Source organism: Homo sapiens, chromosome 7 (assembly GCF_000001405.40).
Source record: "Homo sapiens chromosome 7, GRCh38.p14 Primary Assembly".
Taxonomy (NCBI): Eukaryota; Metazoa; Chordata; class Mammalia; order Primates; family Hominidae; genus Homo; species Homo sapiens.
The window spans coordinates 11,395,202-11,421,245 of record NC_000007.14 but is presented as its reverse complement, the minus strand read 5'-3'; the positions used below and the strand labels follow the sequence as shown (position 1 = coordinate 11,421,245).

At 37.8% G+C, this 26,044-nt stretch overlaps 1 protein-coding gene across 6 annotated transcripts in view, besides 1 other annotated feature; it reads left to right on the top strand.

The window, feature by feature from the left end:
* Positions 1-26,044, top strand: part of THSD7A (thrombospondin type 1 domain containing 7A) — a 461,834-nt gene that overhangs the window by 410,953 nt on the left and 24,837 nt on the right. For all 6 annotated transcript variants that reach the window (XM_006715662.2, XM_006715660.2, XM_006715659.2 and 3 more), the window contains 7 exons: positions 3,643-3,796; positions 8,446-8,590; positions 9,924-10,039; positions 13,823-13,940; positions 14,191-14,336; positions 14,772-14,946; positions 19,278-19,451. In XM_006715662.2, coding sequence (XP_006715725.1) covers positions 3,643-3,796; positions 8,446-8,590; positions 9,924-10,039; positions 13,823-13,940; positions 14,191-14,336; positions 14,772-14,946; positions 19,278-19,451 — 1,028 coding nt within the window. The remainder of the gene's footprint in view (positions 1-3,642; positions 3,797-8,445; positions 8,591-9,923; positions 10,040-13,822; positions 13,941-14,190; positions 14,337-14,771; positions 14,947-19,277; positions 19,452-26,044) is intronic.
* Positions 11,092-11,299: a silencer, noted in NCBI's record as "fragment chr7:11449574-11449781 (GRCh37/hg19 assembly coordinates)". NCBI's record gives its function as "represses an EF-1alpha promoter that drives an FKBP-Casp9 reporter gene in an ReSE screen in phorbol 12-myristate 13-acetate-treated (for megakaryocytic differentiation) K562 erythroleukemia cells {active_cell/tissue: K562(+PMA)}" and the evidence as "EXISTENCE:reporter gene assay evidence [ECO:0000049][PMID:32094911]".

The following is a 26,044-nucleotide window of genomic DNA, read 5'->3' as shown; positions in this document are numbered from 1 at the left end:
CACCTCCTACCAGGTCCCTCCCCCAACATGAGATTTGGGTGGGGACATAGAGCCAAACCATATCATTCCACCCTGGCACTTCCCAAATCTCATGTATTTCTCATATTTCAAAATACAACCATACCTTCCCAACAGTCTCCCAAAGCCTTAACTCATTCTAGCATTAACTCTAAAGTTCAAATCCAAAATCTCATTTGAGACAAGGCAAGTCCCCTCTGCCTGTGAACCTGTAAAATCTAAAGCAAGTTAGTTACTTCCAAGATACAATTCTCCCATTCCAAATGGGAGATATTCGCCAAAACAAAGTGGCTACAGGCCCCATGCAAGTCCAAAACCCAGCAGTTCAGTCATTAAATTTTAAAGCTTCAAAATAATCTCCTTTGACTCTGTGTCTCACATCCAGGACACAATGACACAGGGGTGGGTTCCCAAGGCCTTGGGCAGCTCGACCCCTGTGGCTCTGCAGGGTACAGCCCCCAAGGCTGCTTTCATGAGCTGGCATTGAGTGTCTATAGCTTTTCCAGGTGCACAGTGCAAGCTGTCAGTGGATCTGTCATTCTGGGGTCTGGAGAACTGTGGCCCTACTTCCACAGCTCCACTAGACAGTGCCCCAGTGGGGACTCTGTGTGGGGGGGCCCAACCCCACATTTCTGCTTCACACTGCCCTAGTACTGAAAGCTCCACCCCTGCAACAGACTTCTGCCAGGACATCCAGGCATTTCCATACATCCTCTGAAATCCGGGTGGAGGCTCCCAAGCCTGAACTCTTACCTTTTGTGCACCCACAGGCCCAACACCATGTGGAAGCCACAAGGGTTTGGGACTTGCACCCTCTAATGCAATAGCCTGAGCTGTACCTTGGCCCCTTTTAACCATGGCTGGAGCTGGAGAGACTGGGTTGCAAGGTGCCATGTCCTGAGGCTGCACAGAGCAGTGGAGCCATGAGCCTGGCCCACAAAACCAAATTTCCCTCCTAGGCCTCTGGGCTTGTGATGGGAGTGGCTGTCATGAAGTTGTCTGAAATGTCTTGGAGGCATTTTCCCCATGTCTTGGCTACTAACATTTGGCTCCTCTTTACTTATGCAAATTCCTGCATCTGGCTTGAATTCCTTCCCAGAAAATGGGTTTTTCTTTTCTACCACGTGGTGGGGCTGCAAATTTTCTAAACTTTTATGCTCTTCTTACTTTTTAAATATAAGTTCCAGTTTGGGGTCATTTACTTGTTTATCCAAATAAGCTAGGCTTTTAGAAGCAGGCAGGCCACATCTTGAATGTTTTGCTGCTTAGAAATTTCTTCCACCAAATACCCTAAGTCATCTCTCTCAAGTTCAAAGTTCCACAAATCTCTAGAGCAGGGGCACAATGCCACCCATCTCTTTGCTAAAGTATAGCAAAAGTGGGCTTTACTCCACTTCCCAATAAGCTCATCATCTCCATCTGAGAACACCTCAGCCTGGATTTCACCATCCATATTTCTATCAGCATTTTTGTCACAACTATTCAACAAGTCTTTAGGAAGTTCCAAACGTTCCGTCATCTTCCTGTCTTCTTCTGATCCCTCCAAACTGTTCCAACCTCTGCCCATTACCCAGTTCCTTAGCTGCTTCCACTTTTTCAGGTAACTTTATAGCAATGCTACACTTCTTTTGTACCAATTTTCTGTATTAGTCTGTTTTCACACTGCTATAAAGAACTACCTGAGATGGGGTAATTTATAAAGAAAGAGGTTTAATCAGCTCATGGTTCTGTGGATTGTATAGGCTTCTCTTTCTGGGGAGGCATGAGGAGACTTACAATCATGGCATAAGGGTGAAGAGGAAGCAAGCACATTTTCACATGGTGGCAAGAGAGAGAAAAAGCAAAGGGGGAAGTGCCGCACACTTTTAAACCATTGTATCTCATGAGAACTCACTATCATGAACAGCAAGGGGAACATCTGCCCCCATGATCCAGTGACCTCCCACCAGGCCCCTCCTGCAACACTGAGAATTCCAATTCAGCATGAGATTTGGGTGGGGACACACAGCCAAATCATATCAAGAGAAATCTTTGAAAATAAAGATTTATGGACATAACTGCTTAATAGAGTGTTGGATATCTGTTCTTAACTCTGGTCAATAGGTAATTCTACAAGTTAATCCTTGCATATAGTGACACCACCTACTCAAATGTAATATATTCTTAGGAGCAAATGCAACTTTTGAGCACTGAAATGTCCTGTCTGCAACATGTCTCTAAGCTGCTGTCACCATAACATTTTTTTAATGATATTGAAGGTAGAAATTTTTCCTGGGAAACTCAGATTCTCCCAAAAATATTCACAATTTGATTTATTTTTTTCAACAAGGAAATCATATCAATATCTACTTTGCATATTTTTGTGATTGCTTTTTATGTATGTATCCAGTATACAAAAAAAAAATGCACAGGTAGGTATTTGTTTGGGTATTTTTTTCAGGCTACAGGCTCATTAAGACATGACCAACAACACAGTTTTCCAGTGTTTGAATGTATCCCACAGGGAAAGGACATTCCTAAGTTCAGCAGCACTGCATAGCAAGGTGACTCTGCAGAGGAGATTTGTGAATGTCCCTGCTGATTGTAAATCCCTGATAAAAGTTGGGATTCCAGGTATCACTGGCAATATAATTCAAGTGATATTTTAAAACATGACACTAGGTTTGAGAGACTTGAGAGTTCAAGCCTTCCTTTTCAACTCCTGAAATGCAGTTCTGTTCCTAAATCCATTAAGTTGGCTGACCTTTTCCAAGTTACACATGAGAGATAAAGGTTTTCTCTCCTGCTATAATACTTAAGTGCCCAGAGAGATTATTTACTATGGTAAAAGTGAAGTCTGATAGTAGCCATGTTAATTAGACTCCCAAAAGATGAATAAGGAGCCCTTCATGACTGCTTACAGGAGAATAAAATGGAACACAAACTAACAATTTTTTCAAGTCAAGTAGTAGGAAAATCCAAATAACCATATTTAGAGAACCTATGCGATACCAATTATAATTGTCTTTTCACTTCTCACTTTCTTTTAAGATTCACAGCAGAAGGGAGGCTAAAATTACTTTTAAAATGACAAAATGAATCGATAAATGCCTCTAGTTGTTTTCAAAAACACTCAATGAAATCTCCCACTTAGAGATTTCAGTGTGCCTGGTCTCTCATCACATATAAATCAACTAACTCTACCTTCTCTATGAAATCCATCATTTTCTTGAGAAGAATAAATGCATTATATGCCAAATTGTAAGCCCTCTACGAAGCTCTTTGGACAGTTCCTCATTAGTTTCTCCCTCATATGTGTATAAATGACCCTCTTCTTTCAGAGGAAGCTTGCATAACATGCAGAGTTTACATATACACAGTGGCTCTTATAGTCAAAGACTCATGAATGCAAACACATTTTTGAATCATGCAGAAGCACTACAGATATTTAGGAGAGGCAAAGATCCTTTTAAGTCTTCATTTGTGGAGAATTTTATTAGATAACAAAGCTTCCTACTCCCCACCCCCATAACGATGTCTTAAGGAGAACCATCTGTCCTGTGGGTTGGTCATTCTAATTGTCCTGTTTTCTTTACTTCTAGAATGTATGTATATTTTCTAGAATATGTTTATGTTCTTTTCTAGATGCATGCAGAATACAGCAGATGGCCCTTCTGAACATGTAGAGGATTACCTCTGTGACCCAGAAGAGATGCCCCTGGGCTCTAGAGTGTGCAAATTACCATGCCCTGAGGACTGTGTGATATCTGAATGGGGTCCATGGACCCAATGTGTTTTGGTGAGATGATTAACCTTTTTATTAATGTAGAGTTTATTTAATTATTTGCCACTGAAGCTTTAAAGACATTATTTTTTGAATATAATAACTTCAATGTAAAATCTGTTTGTTTGCCATATTTAGCAAAGCAAGGTGTGTCTTCTCTGCCACATCATTCTATGACTGTGCTATTTAAAGTCTGTAATGTTTCCTCTCACACTAGAACAGCTCCACCTCTTGCAAGCTTTACTAACCCATCATCCTAATCCAGCACAAAAGGCCTTCAGTTTGCCTTATAAATACACAGCATGTTAAAAACTGCAGTGGTGATAATGATTCCCTCCAGGTAAAAGGGAAAATGAATGAAGTAAAGGTACTTTAATGGTGTCAGGTTATTCTCATCCATTGCTTTTTGCCCAGTACCTTTTATTTAAATGGTAGGAATAATCTCTCACACAGTGGGAATACAGCAGCAGGGGTATTAACATTAAAAAGCAAAAGATACTGGGTAAGAAACTAAGTAGAAGAAGAAAGCTGTGCACCAATGAATCTCTCTTTACACACTGACTCTGTGTCTCTTTGGGCCTGGAAAGCCAGCTGAGAGTTTCAAATCACACAAAGCTTCTATATTTCAACAGCCAGTAGGGGCTCATCCACGAGACTCTGGGAAGAGAGTCATTTGAAACAGAACTGGCTGCTTATGTAAGACATTTGGCTTACCCATGGGCACCTTTGTAAAACTGTGCATTTCAAAAACAGCATCAAAAGCATGAGAAAAATAACTAATATGGAATTATTTTGTTGAAATACAATATAAAACCATTTCAAAGAGGATTTTATGGTGCATATTTTCCAAGGAGAAATTGATATTCCATTTCAGTGTTAAACATACTGATTAGCAGACAACTGATACAGCAGGAATAAAACAAAGATGGCAGTTGATTGGAATGCAAGTTACACTGTAATAAAGAATCAGCTGTTTCACAAGGATATACAATTGATTTTCTGTTCTAATTTCAAAGGATCAGATTTGAAGTTACATCAAATAATTGGGCTATATGCTACACTGTCTGTGTTTATAACAGTGAGATTTTTTGTCAGATATCATATTATGAAGAGATTCCATTTTTATAAAAATAGGAAATATTGAACCCAGGCCCCTTCTTAAACTTATTAATAGGGATTTTAATAAAAGGAACCACTAAACTGGAACTTTGTCCAGTAGGTTTCTATATTAAATGATCAAGGATAATCATCTTAGAAGAATTATTGAGGCTCTATTATTTATAAAAGAGAGTTGGTGAAGCATCTTTTGTGTTTCTGAGAGTTTGCCAATAGGAATGTTTGGATAGGAATAAAATTCAATGAGGTGAATAAACTGTGCTTCCTGGGCTTTATATTTCTTTAAAGAAAAACCTCAGAAAAATTAAATTTAACAGTTTAATTGATCAAAGAACCATTCAAGAATCGGGCAGCCTCGCAAACCAGAACAGGTTCAGAGAGACTCCAGCACTGCCACGTGGTTGGAAAAGATTTTTGGGCAGGAGAAGATAAGTGTCATACAGAAAATGATGTACAGAAGTGAGGTTCAGAAACAGCTAGATTGGTTACACCTTGACTTTTGTGACAAACAAAATGAGTAACTAAGGCAAAAGTCCCAATCAATCGAAGTTTAATAAGCCAGCTTTAGGACACATCTGGGAAAAAGCAAGGAGGTTTTCTGAAGAGGTGTTCAGGAGGTTTTATGTTTATACTTTCCCTTAAATGGGGGAAGGCACTTAGGAAGAGAGACAGGCATTAAGGCAAATAGTTATATTCCTGTGAGACTTTAGTTAGTACCCCGTAATCTACATTTTACATAAGGTAAGGTGAATGTTCGAAGAGAAAAAGGTAATAGAGGAAAAATCAATTATGCAGGCATCTCTCGGTAGGTGGAAGAATGACTGATCTCCTCTTGTTTTTGTTCTGAACCTGGGAAAATAAGCTTGTGATTGATAGCATCAGTGTGGAATCAGACTTTAGTTTTGGGAGTTAGACTTAGGCTGTAGACCTAAAGTTACAATTGGTATAATTGGTATGTCCTTGTTTGTGGGAGGCCATGAAAGAATTTACCTATGAATCTTCTATGGGAGCAAGTTATTCATGATGCCCGAGGCCGTTTATCTTTCCTTGGGAATCTGGCACAATGCTAGCAATAGCTATTCATTTGGAAGAGAATGTTGCAAGACGGCCTCCAAGCTTACGCTTCCCTTTTGCATAGGGAGTATGAGATCCTGAGATTTTTTTAAAAACTTTCCTTTACATTTGTCATATTTGAACATGATTTGAACAATTGGCCACATTTGAAACTCAGTGATTGCACAAGAGTAGGTTACAGTCTTTTTACACATCCAAAGAGGGTATAGTTCACTGTGTGTGAAGAAACCTTTAGGATGAACTTGAATGTAAGGAGGCAGCGTTAGCCTAAATTTAATTTGACATGTTTTACCTTTAACTCACATTGTTTCTTCACTCAGGCCTTCATTAAACAGATACCAACTAAGCTTTTACTGTCTATCAGTAACGGTGTTAGGTAGGGAGAATATACAGCTATCTAAAACATAAGTCCTCTCCTAGTGCACTGCAGAAACGAACAAGACCTTTATATAATACACATTATGTCAAAACAGATAGTGTTATTCCAGTGTGACCAAAGTGCAACGGAAGCAGGGGAGGAGGAAGCAATTATTTTAGGCCTTAAAAAGTCCATGGAGGCTTGTTCCTGGTTTCTTACTGTTCTTAGAAACCAACTGTTTTCAGAAGACTGTACCAGTAGATGAATGGCAAGCCAGTCTTTTTAGATGTTGTCAACTGAAGAATGACAAGGTTCATAAATTTAGAAAGGAGAGCTTTACATCTCATAAAGGGTTGCAGCCTGCAGGGTGGCCATCCTGACAGGCTGGGAATCATAGCTGCCAGCCAGAAGCCAGAAATAGACACTTCTAGGGAATGGAAAGGGAACAGTAACTAATTTGTGTTGAGCAGGGTGGCCAAATATACATATTTAATAAGCTATATGAGGAGTCATGAATATTTATAAAAAACAAAGAGTATGCATGTGCAATTGAGCTTTATGCCCCCTCGTGTCCCACGTACCAAAAATGGTGGCATTAGCATGATCCAAGGGTGGGATTTTCAGTGCTCTAATGTCAAAAGGTGAAACAGAGGTCACAGAAACCCTTACTGTACATCCTCCATGGACTACCCAGAACCACTCCTTGGTCAGTGGTTTCTTATTAGGAAGAAATGCTGGTTGGTTGTTTTGTTGCAACCATAAAAGGGAGAGGCAGTGTCAGGCTGTAACCACCCATGGGGTTCTTCCTGCCTGCTGCACAAATAAAGACCAGGGTATTGCAGTAAAGAAAGAGTTTAATAGACATAAGGCCAGCCATGCCACATGGAAGATGGAGTTAGTACTCAAATCAATATTGTCTAAGGCTCCTAGGTAGGGGTTTTTCAAAGGCAGTTTGGGGGAAGGGGTGGGACTGCCAGGGAATGGGTGCTTGCTGCTGATTGGTTGGGGCAGAGATGAAATCACAGGGGTCAAAGCTGTCCTCCTGCAGGCTGAATTCTTCTGAGGGGCGCACAGGAACTGGGTTGGCAGGTCCAGGTAGAGCCCTGGGTGTTAGACATGCAAAAAAATGGAAAAGATATCTCAAAGGCCAATCTACTATAGTGGTGTCATCTGCAGGAGTAGCTAGCAATCATTTATGTCTACACCTTAGCAGAATTCAGGTTCCTCTCCTCTCCCAGCCTGATGGCCTTTCATTAGCTTTACAAAGGCACTTGGGTTTGGGGAAAAGCCTGTTATTTAAACTATAAAGTAAATGTTTCTTGAAGTTAGCTCACCCCGAAAACCCAGGAATAACTAAGAGAAAAGCGAGATGAAGGTGGGTTAGATCAGATCTCTTTTACTGCCATAATTTTCTTACTGTTATAATTTTTGCAAAGGCAGTTTCAAGACAATTGGTTGATCAGGTGCAGAGTGAGTTTTTCCAAAGGGCTTGTTTCTGTATAACCCTTACGGAAGAACGCCTAAAGGCCGAGAACTCAGTTTTCAAGGTTTCTCTGTGGTCCCTATGGCCAAGAGGGGGTCCATTTGGTCAGTTGCAGGTCTTAGAACTTTATTTTTTTTTCTCAATTCTAAATTAAGAATTAAAATTAGGATTTAGAATTAGAATTGTTTATATGCATGTATATGTGTGCATCAGGAAAAGGAAAGTCACTAACACCTAGTCATTTAAAGTTATTCTTAAAATGTCTTTTAAGGCCCAAAAGACTATACGTAATCCACAAACATATAATTATATATATAATAATACACATATAACTTTATATATATAATAGCATAATAATTAATATGACCACCATATGTGTGGCTGTGTATAGGTGTGAGGTGATGTGTGTATTAACATTTGACACATGGCATCTTATAGCTAGATGGTACATCAAAATCTCATTCAACACCTTCATTTTATACATTGAACAACTGAGGCATAATGAGGTTGACTGACTTTTCTGAGTTAGCCAGTGGCCCAAATGTTCTAACTCCTGCTCCAGTGCTGTCTCTAATATACCAGTTGTGTAGCTGAGTATTCACCTTTCTGAGAATTTGTACTGTTCTTTTTAAGCCTTGCAATCAAAGCAGTTTCCGGCAAAGGTCAGCTGATCCCATCAGACAACCAGCTGATGAAGGAAGATCTTGCCCTAATGCTGTTGAGAAAGAACCCTGTAACCTGAACAAAAACTGCTACCACTATGATTATAATGTAACAGGTACATGGATCATCATCTGATCACGGAGTTAAGTCCAAATCCTGTGTCTGTCAGCTCTGAAGCATTCCTGTCAGTATAGTTCATCTCTACCTGTGTGCCTTTTGGATATGCTGCTTACTTTCCCAGAAATAATTACATATTAAATGACAGAAATACTTATCTGGGTTTTTTTTTTAGTAAACACTAAGATAGAGGAAATAAAAATGTCAACAGACATTAGCCCTTAAAGTAGGTTGTGAATATACTAAGTGTTCCTACATAAGACAACCTCTCACTTCGGGAAGGTGAATCTAAAATATTTTTGGCACAGGTATCAGATTTATTCAAAAATGTCTTTCTTTTTCAGAAGATGCTTAATTGCTAAAACATACTGGGGCAACAATTCATGAGGTGTGGGCAGTTTATAAACATGATTAGTCAGCAATCTTAAACTTGCCAAAGATTATAAATCAATGCTATAAAAGGTGCAGGTAAAAATTGATGAGTATTTTCAGAAAAACAGATTTATTATAAGTTGCATTTTTCCCCTAAAACTCATTTAATACCATCAAGGTGCATACTCTAGGAAAGAAAATCTTTTATTGGTTTATATGAATTGGGGCAACACGAAAGCTTACTTTGGAATTTTTCCCAAGTAATTTTCACTCTGCAACAAACTCAAGAAACTGTACAATGACACATAACAGTCATATTGGCTTTGTTTCTTTTGGTTTTTCTCTTCAGTTTCCTTTGATGATACAAAAAAAAAAAATCACAGTTATCTGGGATGTGCTATGTTACCCAGGGAAAGAGGTGTCTTTTATGTCTTCTTACGAAAGACATAAGAGAATGAATAAATATGGCCAAAGTGATTTTTATCACTTTAATAAACGTATGCATTTTCTTGCATTCTAAATATGGATAAGAAATAAAATGTATGTTTTATCTGAATATAACTACACAGTTAAAGTACCGTCTGTCACAATTATGATTATTTGGCTAAAAGTAATGCTAAGATTTTAAATTATATTTTTATTGGGAAAGAAAGTTTTTAAGTGACATTGATCTGTAAGCCAAAGCCATTTTCACAGTGTCACCAAACGGCTAGCTATCAAGATTTTCAAGTAGACATCTGCCTTTAAGAATAATCCCTGTAGCTATGTGCAACCCCAGCAATTCCATTTGACTCCTGATACGTTCAAAGCTGGGACCCATATGCTCTGCATGGGGGATGATTGATTATGGGGCTTAGGAAGCAGTTGTGAATTAAATATGGGATTCAGGTCATCAGAGTTTCATTTGAAATCTGTTTCTTACTTAGCCTTCTGTTCTGATGGGCTTCCCTTTTTTTCAGACTGGAGTACATGTCAGCTGAGTGAGAAGGCAGTTTGTGGAAATGGAATAAAAACAAGGATGTTGGATTGTGTTCGAAGTGATGGCAAGTCAGTTGACCTGAAATATTGTGAAGCGGTAGGTGGATGCTGTGTTATATCTTCGCGAGTAAATTCTTCCCTAATAATTTCAATTCATGCTGAGCCAAGTGACCCGTGCTCCATGCAGCTCATTGCCAGCAGATGTTTTTCTGCACTGTTCACAGGCTAAGTATGTTCTTGAAAAGACACAATGTCCAACACTACTGATTCCTACATATAATTTCCTGTATTTTCTTCTGCTTGGAGCCCAAAGGTATGCTAATTAGCCTATTCTGAAAGAAATGCTTGGGGAACAATACGTAAGGTGAATAAAAGCAATAAATTTTAATCAGACTACTTATCATCTTTGTAATGTGATGTGAATTTTGTGTAGTGCCTGGGACACCTGCCAAGGTCCATCATTTATTCTCTTTGTTGCTAAACATTGATCACATGTGGTTTCATAGCAGATTTTGATATTAGGATCTAATACCCAGCTGTGACCATCTAAGTACTCAGGTCTGATTAAGTGAAAGCCTGAAATTCAAACAGAGGAATGAAGTCAGCCATTACTATCTTCTAGGTACAGAGAATTGTAACTGGTATTATCTAATTGATTAAAGTAATGTCACACCTAGATGTGAGCGTCTGAAATGTGAAGAAACGTATTTGTCCTTTCTTAGTTTTTATGAAGCTACACTTTATGTTGTAATAATTTTATCTAATTTCCATACCAAAAACATGACAAATGTTGACTCTCCATGCATCTGAGGTCCACTGGGTCAAATACCAACCAAGATAAGTAGGAGCCTCAATAGATCTGGAATAGAGTAGAAGTGGTTTGTAACCTCATTAGAGTTTAGTATACACAGACACCATGTGTCTTCTGTCTACACATCCTGGGGTTATTATAGCCCACAGTAAATTGTTCCTATACCTAGGGGAAAACTCTACACAGAAATATTTTAATTCATTTGATATGTTTATCATGTGGACCTAACTTAACTTTCTTACATCTCCGTTCATGAGAGCAGAGCACCCACATGTGTTGAAAACACAAATTTGTTTAGTTAATAAATGCCTCCTGCAATAACCTTGTAACGTTACCTAATGTATTCATTATTTAAACTTGAATAATTAGAAATTTCACACTTGAATCATTTTAGTTTCATAACCAATAACATTGAAGCAATATAACCATTATGAGAATAATGTCAGTATTGAGCCGAGTAGGGTGGCTCAAGCCTCTAATCCCAGCACTTTGGGAGGCTCAGTCGGGCGGATCACCTGAGGTCGGGGGTTCAGGACCAGCCTGACCAACATGGAGAAACCCCATCTCTACTAAAAATACAAAATTAGCCGGGCGTGGTGGCACATGCCTGTAATCCCAGCTACTCAGGAGGCTAAGGCAGGAGAATCGCTTGAACCCAGGAGGCAGAGGATGCCATGAGTCAAGATCACACCACTGCACTCCAGCCTGGGCAACAAGAGCAAAACTCCATCTCAAAAAAAAAAGAACATCAGTATTAATGAAGATAATGGTCATATACTGGCTGGAGAGCTTGCTGTGATCTACTTCTGGTTGATTAGTATGTCCTTTTTTCTGCACACATAAATGTACTCCTTGGTCGGAATGAAATATAAAATAAATGAGAGCTTTGCGAAAGCTGAAACCTAAGCATACATGACCAATTTTAAACCATTTCATATGATTAAAGGACAAAGCTGGAAACCGAATTCTTGATTTCTTACATCGAATATGAGTAAAAACCTGGGAAATAACTAATTTTAATTATATGGGAGCCTAGATGACTTTAAGCTTACATGCAAATACTACAATATTTGAATGTTGCATGGCAATTAGGGACTCCTAGTTTTAACATTCTAGCAAACACTGTCTTCAAGGACTTAAAATTCGACTGTGCAACCCTGCATTCAGTGCCACATCAGTAGGTAACACTGGCTGCTTCCCTAACAGCCACAAAGAAAGATGGCATTGTTATCTAACAAAGAGGAAAATTAGAGTTAAACCTAACTAGCATTTATGTAGTATTATTTTTATCTTCAGTGTTTTTCAGACATTTACTCATTGGATACCTAGTAATTGGTTTTTTCTTTCCTATTTCTTAGATTTTTGAATAGATTTCTTTTTAATTTATTTACACACACATTTAGGTAAATGAGAGAGCAAATTAAAAGAGAGATATGATCAATGTAAGGAAAAAAGTAGTACAGGACTAAAATGTGTAAGTGGTGGATATGTAAGTCAGTAATAATTGAATCCTGTGATTCAAACTGTCCCCATGAAACTATTATTTACCTTAAATGTAACACTTATTTTTATCATATCACCTCAAGATTCCTATCTCCAACCTCCCATGACTTTTAAGTGGCTTTATGAGGCTTCGATTGAGTGATATGGTAAAAGTTTTCATACCAAATACTCAGCTCTGTCAAGTATTACTGGTGTAGAATATAATGGGAGTGCCTGCAGAGAGATGTATTACACAAAGCTTTGATCTGATCCTCTCTCAGTGGATAACTTAGAGCTAAGAGCTATACTTGAAACACAACGTAATGTTTCAAAATAAATTTTTGCCATTATCTGCTGTATAAATTAGAAAATATAAACTTCTCTTTCATGCAGAAATAAAAAAGGTCTTGGAAATTCCAAGAATTACTAGTTTTAAAAACTTATATTCTCCTAACAAGCTCTTACATTTTCCTATTTCTTTTTCTTTCTTTTCATTTTTTTTTTTTTATTTTGGAGACAGAGTCTTGCTCTATTGCCCAGCCTGGAGTGCAGTGGTGCCATCTCAGCTCACTGCAACCTCCACGTCCTGGGTTCAAGCAATTCTCCTGCCTCAGCCTCCCAAGTAGCTGGGACTACAGTCATGCACCACCAATCCCAGCTAATTTTTATATTTTTTTTAGTAGAGGTGAGGTTTCGCAATGTTGGCCATCATGCTTTCAGGTGATCCGCCCACCTCGGTCTCCCAAAGTGCTGGGATTACAGGCATGAGCCACCGCACCCGGCCAACATTTTCCTATTTCAATACTACTTTGTACCATAGAGATTTTAAATGTTGGAATATACAGTAGAAGAATTTGAAACCTCATCTTATATTTTTAAAGCAGAATATTTAAGTAATGGAACCCAAATGCCAATAAAATGGCACAACATTATTATCTGATGAGAAGGTTTGACACCAACATAACTGAATTATACCACAGTTAAGTTTTAGAAGTGAAAATCTTTGTTTTAAAAAATGCACATAAAATATTCATAATCAAAAAAAAACTTTGGTGACCCATATTTCTTTTTTTAAAAGATAGCTGATACTTTATATTATTTCAATACATGATATCATTAGTTTTGAGTATGAATTTATGTTTAGAACCTTTTCCTTTTGCTTTTCAGTTTAAGATATGTAAAAATAAATAATATCCCTAAGATACAGTTGTAGATCAAAATATTGATGATACTAGTTTTTACCTAATGGAAAGTATTTATGCTTATATTTACTTGTTCCTCATTTAGGGAAATTCAACCAATTTGGAGGTTAAATCTACTTTTCTACATTGCTTATTGAAAACACTTAAACAATACATAAGTATAGATTCAATGGGCCCCTTCTTTCATCCTGTGCCCCTAACTTCCACTCTCCTAGGTCAAACCACTTTATACTTTCAATAGTTTGGATGTTTGTCCTCCAGGTAACATTTTATTCTCTTATGTGGCTTGCTTTTTCTCCCTCCTTCTCTTCTTTCTTGTCACCTCATTCTCTGGCTCCCTCCCCCAATTTACAATATACATCCTGATCTACCTCTGTTCTTCCAGCTTGGCTTGGAGAAGAACTGGCAGATGAACACGTCCTGCATGGTGGAATGCCCTGTGAACTGTCAGCTTTCTGATTGGTCTCCTTGGTCAGAATGTTCTCAAACATGTGGCCTCACAGGTTTGTTTGTACCATAACTTATATTAGGCTACTGGTCAAGGAATATGAAATAAAATATCCCTCTTGCTTTAACCCATATCAAATAATCTTCAGAAAGGTTGGATTGGTTGTCTTTCTTTGCAAAACATCTAAGCCTTACTTGTTCCTGGATTGCCTCAGGAGATATCACTGTGATGCCTTCTCCCAATGAGATATATGCTTGCAAAACCATAACATATATTAAAGGTGCATCACTTTGTATCTCTTCAAGGAAAAATGATCCGAAGACGAACAGTGACCCAGCCCTTTCAAGGTGATGGAAGACCATGCCCTTCCCTGATGGACCAGTCCAAACCCTGCCCAGTGAAGCCTTGTTATCGGTGGCAATATGGCCAGTGGTCTCCATGCCAAGTGCAGGTATCAAATCTCAAGAAGTTGTCAGGAAGTGTGTACTCTATCTGCAGAGACTTCATCTGCAGAAAAACATAAAAATAATGTGTTAGAAATATGTTTCAGAGCTCACAGATGACAAGCTTCTTAAAATTTGTATGTACTTGCCATTTTATAACCATTTAATTAGTTTTGATAACAAAAACTCCATGCCCTATATTTTTAAAATCATTTGGAGACTGATTCATTTTAATGAAAATTTATTTTCCTGTCTTTAGCTAGGAAACAAATTGTTCAATGTATGCTTTATTGCTAGTGCCCTATAGGGCTTCTTCCCTAGGGTTTCAAATCCTTCTCTAAATGTTCATAAATCAAAGTCAGTGGTGCAGAGATAACTAAGTGATGAGCTCTCTAATGAAGTATTTCTCTTTTTCTAATTAGTTATTTCTTCCTCCATTCCAGGAGGCCCAGTGTGGAGAAGGGACCAGAACAAGGAACATTTCTTGTGTAGTAAGTGATGGGTCAGCTGATGATTTCAGCAAAGTGGTGGATGAGGAATTCTGTGCTGACATTGAACTCATTATAGATGGTAATAAAAATATGGTTCTGGAGGAATCCTGCAGCCAGCCTTGCCCAGGTAACAACGGCAAAGGAGAATTCATATTCTGATTATTTTTTCCTAGGACAAGGGCCGTGAAGGGGTTGCATATAAAGTATAAGTTACAGGATGTCAACAGTCTTCTTATTCAGTAATATCTATGCCAACAGCTCAACACTATGCCTGTGGGGAACGGGACGCTGTCTCATTACTGCCAGGTAGGGTTGAAGTCCAGGTCTCCCATGTGGCCTCTCAACACCCTCTGGAGTTTTAACATCTGCAGGAGATGGTATTTAAGGCCTTAAGCCCATGCTCCACAGAAAAGTTATGAAATAAAAGATGAGAAAATAAGGACAAAACATAACCTATTCGGGATTTCCAGAAGAGAGAAAGAGAGGCCAATGTTTAAATACATAATGGCTAAAAACAGATTAAGTCCTCATAATAACAGCTTACCCTGGGTCCAGGGTAGAATGAACAACAAACTCATACCTAGATAAATGTAGTCAAAACATAAAATATAGAAAAATAATTAGTAAAGTCTTCAGTAAGAAAATAACAGATTATCTACAACTGGAAGACAAAATAGCAGTATGGAGGAAACTATTGAAAGATATTATTCAGATTCAGTGTTAGACACAATGAGTGCATGCAGTAAAAGTAGAAAGAAAATTTTGTTTATCAAATAGTATGGAAAAAATGGCAGACAGTGATAAGCTAATATTTATGAATTTGGGCTTGATGCAGAGAATTGTAGAGGAAATTTAATGTCAAAATATGCCAGAAAACCCATCCTTGAACAAGGTATAGATAGGGGCAACAATTTATTAGTGGACTGGAAATGAACAGATTGAAAATGAATTACCTGTATTTTATCCCCAAGTGGAAAATTTGTATTCTCCCAATTTGCTTATAATTATGATTTAAAGATTGCATCTCTTTCACAATATTTTCTTTTGAATGTGACCTCAAAATATTAAAAATTAAGGATTTGGCAAAAATAATGGGGCATAAAACACATTTTCTATATAAAAGGATGTGATTTAAGAAAATTTTAAAAGTGGATAACATATATCAACAAAAATTTGTAAATGGGATTGAGTCCCTAAAACCTGGAAAAACTGACATGGGCTAGCTATTTATTCACTCATCGAGTTACTTATTCCTTCGTAAAAAAAAAAAAAAATCATTTGAGATGATAAAAATGGTAGGGTATAGTTTAAGATGAACTGAATGAAATTGAACAGTAAATAAAATAACCCTGATAGGGGTTATTTTGAGGACAAGCCCCCTAGACTCTGAAAATATCCAACTATTGTATTGATCTTTGCACACATGGATATTTTCATCTACTTCAGGTCAAGAACTAAACTATTTTTAAAAACCAAAAATCTGAATAGCAGCTCCTTCTCAATGAGTGTAAAGGTTCAGCTATGCAAGGTGAATAAGTTCTAGAGATCCGTTCTAAGACATAGTGCCTGTAGTTAACAATACTGTATTGTATACCTAAAAATGTGTTAAGTGGGTAGATCTCATGTTAAATGGTCTTATCACAATAAAAAATAAAATAGAATAAAATAAAATTTAAAAATAAAGTAAAAGAAAAGAAAATCTGACTTTCTAAAGCCAGGCAAAGTGTTGCTGCCAACAACCTTTTGCTGAGCCAGCAATTCCCCTTTCACTTCCTGCTGCTGAAACTAGTCTGATATCATTTAAGATCTCACACACAATTCAATAAAATCATTTTGCTTCACTGCAGACCCAGCCTAAGGCTGTGGCAGCAGGTGACAGCTCCAGGCAGGGCCAAGGACTGAACCTTTGGACCTTGATGTACTGAATGGCCATAGAGGCAACAAAAAGTGACCCTTGGCTAAAAGTTGTAAGGCCTACTTTTCCAAAACCAAATCTCCAGCACCAGTAATAGGATTGTTGTGACATTCACACCATTGAGCAGAACGGGCATCCTTGTCAGACTGTGGTATATGCCTTACTATGGACACTCCTCACATGATTTCATTATACTTTCTGCAGCACACACACTCACTCATTTGACTGTTACTTATCAAATGTAATTACAGGTCAAGCCCTGGACTTGAGGCCAGAGATACAGTGCAGACCAAGAGACCCTGTCCTTGTACAGCTTACTTTCTAATGGAAAGAACAATTGCTAATCTAATAGTGACAATAATATATAATATATAAGATTATAACCTGTGGTAAATGATGTGAAGGAAAATTACAGGATCCCATGATAACATAGAGCAAACACATTGTTTTAATTAAAGTAATTGCAAATCTAGGAGGCTGCTCTTCTCTTCTAAATTACAATCTATTCATTTCAGTTCCTCTCTTGCTAGTTTTCTCTAATGATGGGTTTTGAAAGCTGGCAGTATGTGAACTAATAAGCTTTAAAGAGTAGAATACTAAATTAGGAAATACATCTCATGTGTTTAATTGTCATATCTTTGGCAGGCATCGGGTAATTTTATTGTTATTACAATGGTTTACATGGTCAAAATAGAAAAGTGTGTTTAGGACAAGGGAGTATCTCACTCTCATTTGCTGTTATTAAATCTTTGAAGCCTGACATGTATTACTTAGGGGCGAAAATTACATAACTCACAGACTATCATTAAAAGATTTATTACATTTTGTTGCAAAATAAATGATGCTAAATGTGAATTGCCACAAAGATAAAGCCTACTGGTGAAAAGGTATGTTTTCTTTCCATGTAATTTTCAATCACTGAGGTGAAATTTTATTACATTCATATTGACAGGAATTTTTTTAACTTTAGCAGTTTTCCTACATAATTAAAAACTGAGTAACTCCAAAGTGACATTTCCTAGGAAATAAAAGCGTTTCTAAAACTTTCTCAGACTATTTAGAAATTCTTTCTAGTTTCTTTTTCCTTTGCATTTCCAAAATTTACTAGAACTTTCTGTACTTCAGGAGTACCAATTACATTCTTTAATAAAGGCCTACAAAAATCACTCCATTTTGCTATTACGTATATATATGTTAGTCAATAATTCATGTCTTACCAGGACTTCTTAGGCATGACACAAGAAGTTTTTCCATTAATCAGATCTCCAGGCAACTTTCTGCTAATACCAGTCACCTTCAGCATAATATAAGGCAATATGAATTATTCATATGACCTGGCTATAATAAATAAGTGATAAGAAACCCTTGTGAATTTGTGTCTATCATAATTGACTGTGTACTCTGAAGAGTATCACTAAGCAGTCACTCTGAAGAATGGATGGGTTAATGGAAAGGGTGTATTTCATAAAATCTTTTCTGTTCTTAAAATGGCTAAAGATTTTGGAAGCATGGATGCACTATGGCCCAGCAATTGCACTCCTAGGTACATACCCAACAGAAATGCATATATAAGTTCATCAAAAGACTTGTACTGAAATGTTTACAATAACATGATGGGAAAAATTTACAACTCCCCACATGCCCATCAGTAGTAGAATGGATATCTAAATTATGATATATTCACACAATGGAAAGTTGTACGAATGAAGAAATTAGAACTTCATAAATGTATGATGGATTTCACAAACATAAATGAGAGAAAGAAGCCAGACACCAAAAAGTACATATGGTATGATTTCATATATCACACAAGGGAGGGTTTTGAGATCCTGGGAATGTTCTGTTCCTTGATTTGGGTGTTGATCACATGGTTATATAATCAGATTATCGAAATTCAGCTATCATCTGTGCATCTATGATATGTGATCATTTTACATGTTTGTTATCCTTCAATAAATCAATATTTTAAAGAGAAGTTGATTGAGGATGTAGATCAGAGGAAATAGTGAGCATTATTTCCAGTACTGCAACTGCTCAGTTGTCTCTCTCACCTCCACTCATCTGGGAAGAAATAGGAATGAAAACATAAAACCAGCTCTGTCGGCCTTGGATTTCAAACTTTTCAAAATTGTGAATACCTAGAAGACTAATTCTGTTTATATTTAGGCTTTCTTTGAGTGTAACTCATGTGTAATAAACCACTTTACTATGATAATGACAAGAATGATAGTAGGTTTTGATCAAATATTTGTTGTATCCTAAGAAGAGATGAATTACGGTGGATGAGCTCCTGTCAGCCACAATTTACCTTTGATATCATTAAGCAACACATAGACCAGTAATAGCCATACGGAAAATAACAATACATATACAAAGTTATACAATTACAAATTTACAAATATTAAATGCTTATTTAAATCTTATAAATATTATGTGTGCCTGGGATACCAGAAACATTGCCTACTGGGGTTGGAATTAAAATGATTATCGGGCTGGCTTTTCTCTGTGGATATGGGTGTAAATTACAAATATGTGTTTTACAGGTGACTGTTATTTGAAGGACTGGTCTTCCTGGAGCCTGTGTCAGCTGACCTGTGTGAATGGTGAGGATCTAGGCTTTGGTGGAATACAGGTCAGATCCAGACCGGTGATTATACAAGAACTAGAGAATCAGCATCTGTGCCCAGAGCAGATGTTAGAAACAAAATCATGTTATGGTGAGTGCTACCGTTCATATACTCTATCTTAAGCAAAAGCATAAGATTAAAAAAAAAATAGTCTGTTAAAAATAAACAAAGTTGGCCACGTGCGGTGGCTCACGCCTGTAATCCCAACGCTTTGGGAGGCCTAGGTGGGCGGATCACCTGAGGCCAGGAGTTGTGAGACCAGCCTGGCCAACATGGCCAAACCCAAACTCTACCAAAAAAAAAATTATGCATGGTGTCAGGCTCCTGTAATCCAAGCTACTCAGGAGGCTGAGGCAGGAGAATCACTTGATCCCGGGAGGCCAGAGACTGCAGTGAGCCGAGATTGCACCACTGCACTCCAGCCTGGGCAACAAGAGTGAAATTCCATCTCAAAAATAAATAAATAAATAATTTAAAAATTTACTCAGATGTCACTTGAGGCTGAGGACTAAAGTAAGGGGAAGATTCTGAATTCTAAAGATTGGAAAGATGGAACATCCTGCCACCCTTCATAAATAAGGTGTGAGTTTTGCAAAAATGTTTCCCGGTTTTATGAGCTCAAGAAGGCTGAGATAATTAGGAGCACATTATTTGTACGCTTATAACAATTATGATCAGGTAGGAGTCTAACAATCTTCAATTTATTTAAATCAAATGACACAATTAAATAAAAATTACAAATCCACAGCAAAGTGTGAGATTTTACTATATTTTTTCAAATGGATAAATCAAATTATTGGTAAAAATTGATTTTAATCTGAATTTTACTTAGAATATATATAAACATCTATGTTTATATGTCTGTGTGAACGTATACACACATAGAATCATTCACTCAATGTAAGCAATACATCTTCAAGAATCACAGCATTAAATGTCGTGGTTTGGGAAACAACACCCGAAGACTCGAAAACAAAAGAATTGCTATTTGGTAGAGGGTGTGGGGCTCAACAAACAACCCTTAATGCTGCTGATGTTCTGAAATAAGTAATATGACATAGTAGCAAGTAGGAGACAAAATATCACCTTTCTTACTGAAAAGTAGGAGACAAAAGCTTAAAGTGTTGGAAAAGAATACTTGCAGTAAAAACCAAATGGGCTAGATGACTTAGCCCAAGAATTAGATGGAATTACCTGCTCTGTCAATTTGATCTTCCTAAATTTATCAACTAGGTAAAACACTCCATATGCCAGCATAGGATAAGTAAAGAGTAAAGAAAGGTCAAAAGTTACAATAAATAAAATAATTCCCAAGGCAAGAAAGAAAAGTATTCACTCCAAAATGACAAGGAAATAAAATTAGGAATCAATAGAACAATGACAAAAGAGATCTCCACACGCACACCTTAGAGAGTAAAATCATACCTCTAAAGCATTATCCAGCAAATGTTATATGGGATGCAGCAAAGAAGTACCTAGAGGAGATCTTGAAGCTTTAAACGCTTCTACAGAAGGGAGAAAAGTTAAAAATGAACTAAGCATTCAACTGAATAAATTCTTTTTTAATTTTTTTAATTATACTTTAAGTTCTAAGGTACATGTGCACAACATGCAGGTTTGTTACATATGTATACATGTGCCATGTTGGTGTGCTGCACCCATTAACTCGTCATTTACATTAGGTATATCTTCTAATGCTATCCCTCCCCCCTCCCCCGACCCCATAACAGGCCGCAGTGTGTGATGTTCCCCTTCCTGTGTCCAAGTGTTTTCATTGTTCAATTCCCACCTATGAGTGAGAACATGCGGTGTTTGGTTTTTCGTCCTTGCCATAGTTTGCTCAGAATGATGGTTTCCAGCTTCATCCATGTCCCTACAAAGGATATGAACTCATCCTTTTTTATGGCTGCATAGTATTCCATGGTGTATATGTGCCACATTTTCTTAATCCAGTCTATCATTGATGGACATTTGGGTTGGTCCCAAGTCTTTGCTATTGTGAATAGTGCCGCAATAAACGTATGTGTGCATGTGTCTTTATAGCAGCATGATTTATAGTCCTTTGGGCGTATACCCAGTAATGGGATGGCTGGGTCAAATGGTATTTCTAGTTCCAGATCCTTGAGGAATCGCCACACTGTCTTCCACGATAGCTGAACTAGTTTACAGTCCCACCAACAGTGTAAAAGTGTTCCTATTTCTCCAGATCCTCTCCAGCACCTGTTGTTTCCTGACTTTTTAATGATCGCCATTCTAACTGGTGTGAGATGGTATCTCATTGTGGTTTTGATTTGCATTTCTCTGATGGCCAGTGATGATGAGCATTTTTTCATGCGTCTCAACTGAATAAATTTTTAAGAAAAGCAAAAAGGAAATGGAATGCAACCAACATGGATGAGTATAAATTCAGTGAGACAGAAAATAATCAACAAAACCAATAGATTGTTTTTAGAGCAAACTGACAAAATAGACCAGCTCATGGCAAATTCAGTGAAGAGGAAAAAAAAAGCAAAGTTGTCATTACCATAAATAAAATAAAGTTTAGAAAAATAGAATATAATTCGGTGAATAGCTTTTTCTAACAGAAGTAAAAATGTCAAGATAATTTAGAAGGTTATATTTTATCAAGAGTAATGAAAAACCTACACCATAGATTATATAACTATTTTCAAACCTATGAAATACATACTCACATATGCACACAAACTAAAATTTAAATGGCTTTAATTATGAGTTTTCCCAAAATTTAAAGAAACAGACAACTCCTTGTTGAGATTTGATCAGGCTGGTGGGAAAAATACCAGTTATGATAGCCACAAAACCCTTTTGGAAGGCCTGAGGGTTTTCACATGACTTTGGTAATAGACCTGGTAGAAGGCGGCCTAGTCCCATTACCTTTAGTTAAATAGATTAGAGTAGTAAACAACGGGATGTGAGGAAGTTATCTAGTTAGCTTGTTTACCCACGTGGTCTCAAGATGAGCCTTTGATACATGCTTTTTACTCTTTAAGTCCACAATGTCAATTACCGTCTAATGGCATTGACTCAAGCTTTTGTTAACTAATAAATGTGAGTCTCCCTCACTGATCAGGGCTGGCTGCAGTGACAAACCTCTCTGGTGTGTAGATGGTCAGACACTCAGCAGGACTGGCAAAAGATAATATCTGTGTGTCAGTGTACGTTTTATTCATCCATCGCTGGGGTCAGGGTCTGCAGACAGACCCCCGTAGCTAATGCCCTCTTGTGAGGAGCAATACTTCAACTCCTACTTACGTGAAATCTTTTTTTTTATAAGAACATATTCTTTTCTTAATATGAATTACATTTAGTTTCTTTTTTTAATTATACTTTAAGTTCTGGGGTACATGTGCAGAACGTGCAGGTTTGTTACACAGGTATACACATGCCATGGTGATTTGCTGCACCCATCAATCCATCATCTACTTCATCTACTTTACGTATTTCTCCTAATGCTATCCCTCCCCTAGCCCCTACCCCTCGACAGGCCCCAGTGTGTGATGTTCCCCTCCCTGTGTCCATGTATTCTCATTGTTCAACTCCCAATTATGAATGAGAACGTGCAGTGTTTGGTTTTCTGTTTCTGTGTTAGTTTGCTGAGAATGATAGTTTCCAGGTTCATCCATGTCCCTGCAAAGGACATGAACTCATCCTTTTTTATGGCTGCATACTATTCCATGGTGTATACGTGCCACATTTTCTTCATCCAGTCTATCATTGATGAGCATTTGGGTTGGTTCCAAGTCTTCGCTATTGTGAACAGTGCTGCAATAAATATAAATGTGCATGTGTCTTTATAATAGAATGATTTATAATCCTTTGTGTATATACCCAGTAATGGGATTGCTGGGTCCAATGAATCACCATTGGAATCACCATGCTGTGTTCCACAATGGTTGAACTAATTTACAGTCCCACCAACAGTGTAAAAGCATTCCTGTTTCTCCACATCCTCTCTAGCATCCATTGTTTCCTGACTTTTAAATGATCACTATTCTAATTGGTGTGAGATGGTATCTCATTGTGGTTTTGATTTGCATTTCTCTAATGACCAGTGTTGATGAGCTTTTTTTCATGTTTGTTGGCTGCATAATGTCTTCTTTTCAGAAGTGTCTGTTCATATTCTTCGCCCACTTTTTCATGGGGTTGTTGTTTTCTTGTAAATTTGTTTAAGTTCTTTGTAGATTCTGGATATTAGCCTCTTGTCAGATGGATAGATTGCAAAATTTTTCTCCCAATCAGCAGGTTGCCTGTTCACTCTGATGATAGTTTCTTTTGCTGTGCAGAAGCTCTTTAATTAGATCCCGTTTGTCAATTTTGGCTTTTGTGGCCATTGCTTTTGGTGTTTTAGTCATGAAGTCTTTGCCCATGCCTATGTCCTGAATAGTATTGCCTAGGTTTTCTTCTACGGTTTTTACGGTTTTAGGTCTTGGGTTTACGTCTTTAATCCATCTTGAGTGAATTTCTGTATAAGGTGTAAGGAAGGGGTCCGGTTTCAGTTTTCTGCATATGGCTAGCCAGTTTTCCCGACACCATTTATTAAATAGGGAATCCTTTTCCCATTGCTTTTCTTAGGCTTGTCAAAGATCAGATGGTTGTAGATGTGTGTTATTATTTCTGAGGCCTCGGTTGTGTTCCATTGGTTTTTATATCTGTTTTGCTACCAGTACCGTGCTGTTTTGGTTACTGTAGCCCTGTGGCTGTGGGTTTGACATAAATAGCTCTTATTATTTTGAGATATGTTCCATCAATACCTAGTTTATTGAGAGTTTTTAGCATGAAGGGGTGTTGAATTTTGTCAAAGGCCTCTTCTGCATCTATTGAGATAATCATGTGGTTTTTGTCATTGGTTCTATTTATGTGATGGATTACGTTTATTGATTCACATATGTTGAACCCGCCTTGCATCCCAGGGATGAAGCCGACTTGATCATGGTGGATAAGCTTTTTGATGTGCTGCTGGATTCGATGTGCCAGTATGTGATTGTGGATTTTCACATCAATGTTCATCAGGGATATTGGCCTGAAATTTGTTTCTCTTTATTGTGTATCTGCCAGGTTTTGGTATCGGGATGATGGTGGCCTCATAAAATGAGTTAGGGAGGAGTCCCTCTTTTTATATTGTGTGGAGTAGTTTCAGAAAGAATGGTACCAGCTCCTCTTTGTACCTCTGGTAGAATGTGGCTGTGGATCTGTCTGTTCCTGGGCTTTTTGTGGTTGGTAGGCTACTAATTACTGCCTCAATTTTAGAACTTGTTATTGGTCTCTTCAGGGATTCAGCTTCCTCCTGGTTTAGTCATGGGAGGGAGTATGTTTCCAGGAATTTCTCTCTTCTAAATTTTCTAGCTTATTTGTGTAGAGGTGTTTATAGTATGCTCTGATAGTGGTTTGTATTTCTGTGGGATCGGTGATGATATCCCCTTTATCATTTTTTATTGAATCTATTTGATTCTTCTCTCTTTTCTTCTTTCTTAGTCTGGCTAGCCATATATCTAAATTGTTGATCTTTTCAAAAAAACAGCTCCTTGATTGATTTTTTTAAGGGTGTTTCATGTCTCTATCACCTTCAGCTCTGCTCTTAGTTATTTCTTGAGTTCTGCTAGCTTTTGAATTTACTCTTGCTTCTCTAGTTCTTTTAATTGTGATGTTAAGGTGTTGATTTTAGATCTTTCCTGCTTTCTCCTGTGAGCATTTAGTGCTATAAATTTCCCTCTAAACACAGTTTTAGCTGTGTGCCAGAGATTCTGGTATGTTGTGTCTTTGAACTCATTGGTTTCAAATAACTTACTTACTTATTTCTGCTTTAGTTTTGTTATTTACCCAGTAGTCATTCAGGAGCAGGTTGTTCAGTTTCCATGTAGTTGAGCGGTTTTGAGTGGGTTTCTTAATCCTGACTTCTAATTTGATTGTACTGTGTCTGAGAGACTGTTTGTTATGATTTCTGTTCTTTTGGATTTTCTAAGGAGTGTTTGTTTTACCTCCAACTATGTGGTCAATTTTAGAAAAAATGCAATGTGGTGCTGAGAAGAGTGTATATTCTGGGCCGGGCACGGTGGCTCATGCCTGTAATCCCAGCACTTTGGGAGGCCGAGGCGGGCGGATTACAAGGTCGGTAGTTTGAGAACAGCCTGGCCAATATGGTGAAACCCCATCTCTACTAAAAATACAATAATCAGCTGGACATGGTGGCGGGTGCCTGTAGTCCCAGCTACTCGGGAGGCTGAGGCAGGAGAATCACTTTAACCTGGGAGGTGGAGGTTGCAGTGAGCTGAGATAGTGCCACTGCACTACAGCCTGGGTGACAGAGCAAGATTCTGTCTCAAAAAAGAAAAAAAAAAAAAAAAGAATGCATATTCTGTTGATTTGGGGTGGAGAGTTTTGTAGAAGTCTATTAGGTCTCCTTGGTCCACAGCTTAGTTCAAGTCCTGAATATCCTTATTAATTATCTGTCTCATTGATTTGCCTAATATTGACAATGGGGTGTTAAAGTCTCCCACTATTATTGTGTGGGAGTCTAACTCTCTTTGTAGGTCTCTAAGGGCTTGCTTTATGAATCTGGGTGCTCCTGCATTGGGTGCATCTATATTTGGGATAGTTAGCTGTTCTTGTTACATTGATCCCTTTACCATATGTAATGCTCTTCTTTGTCTCTTTTGATCTTTGTT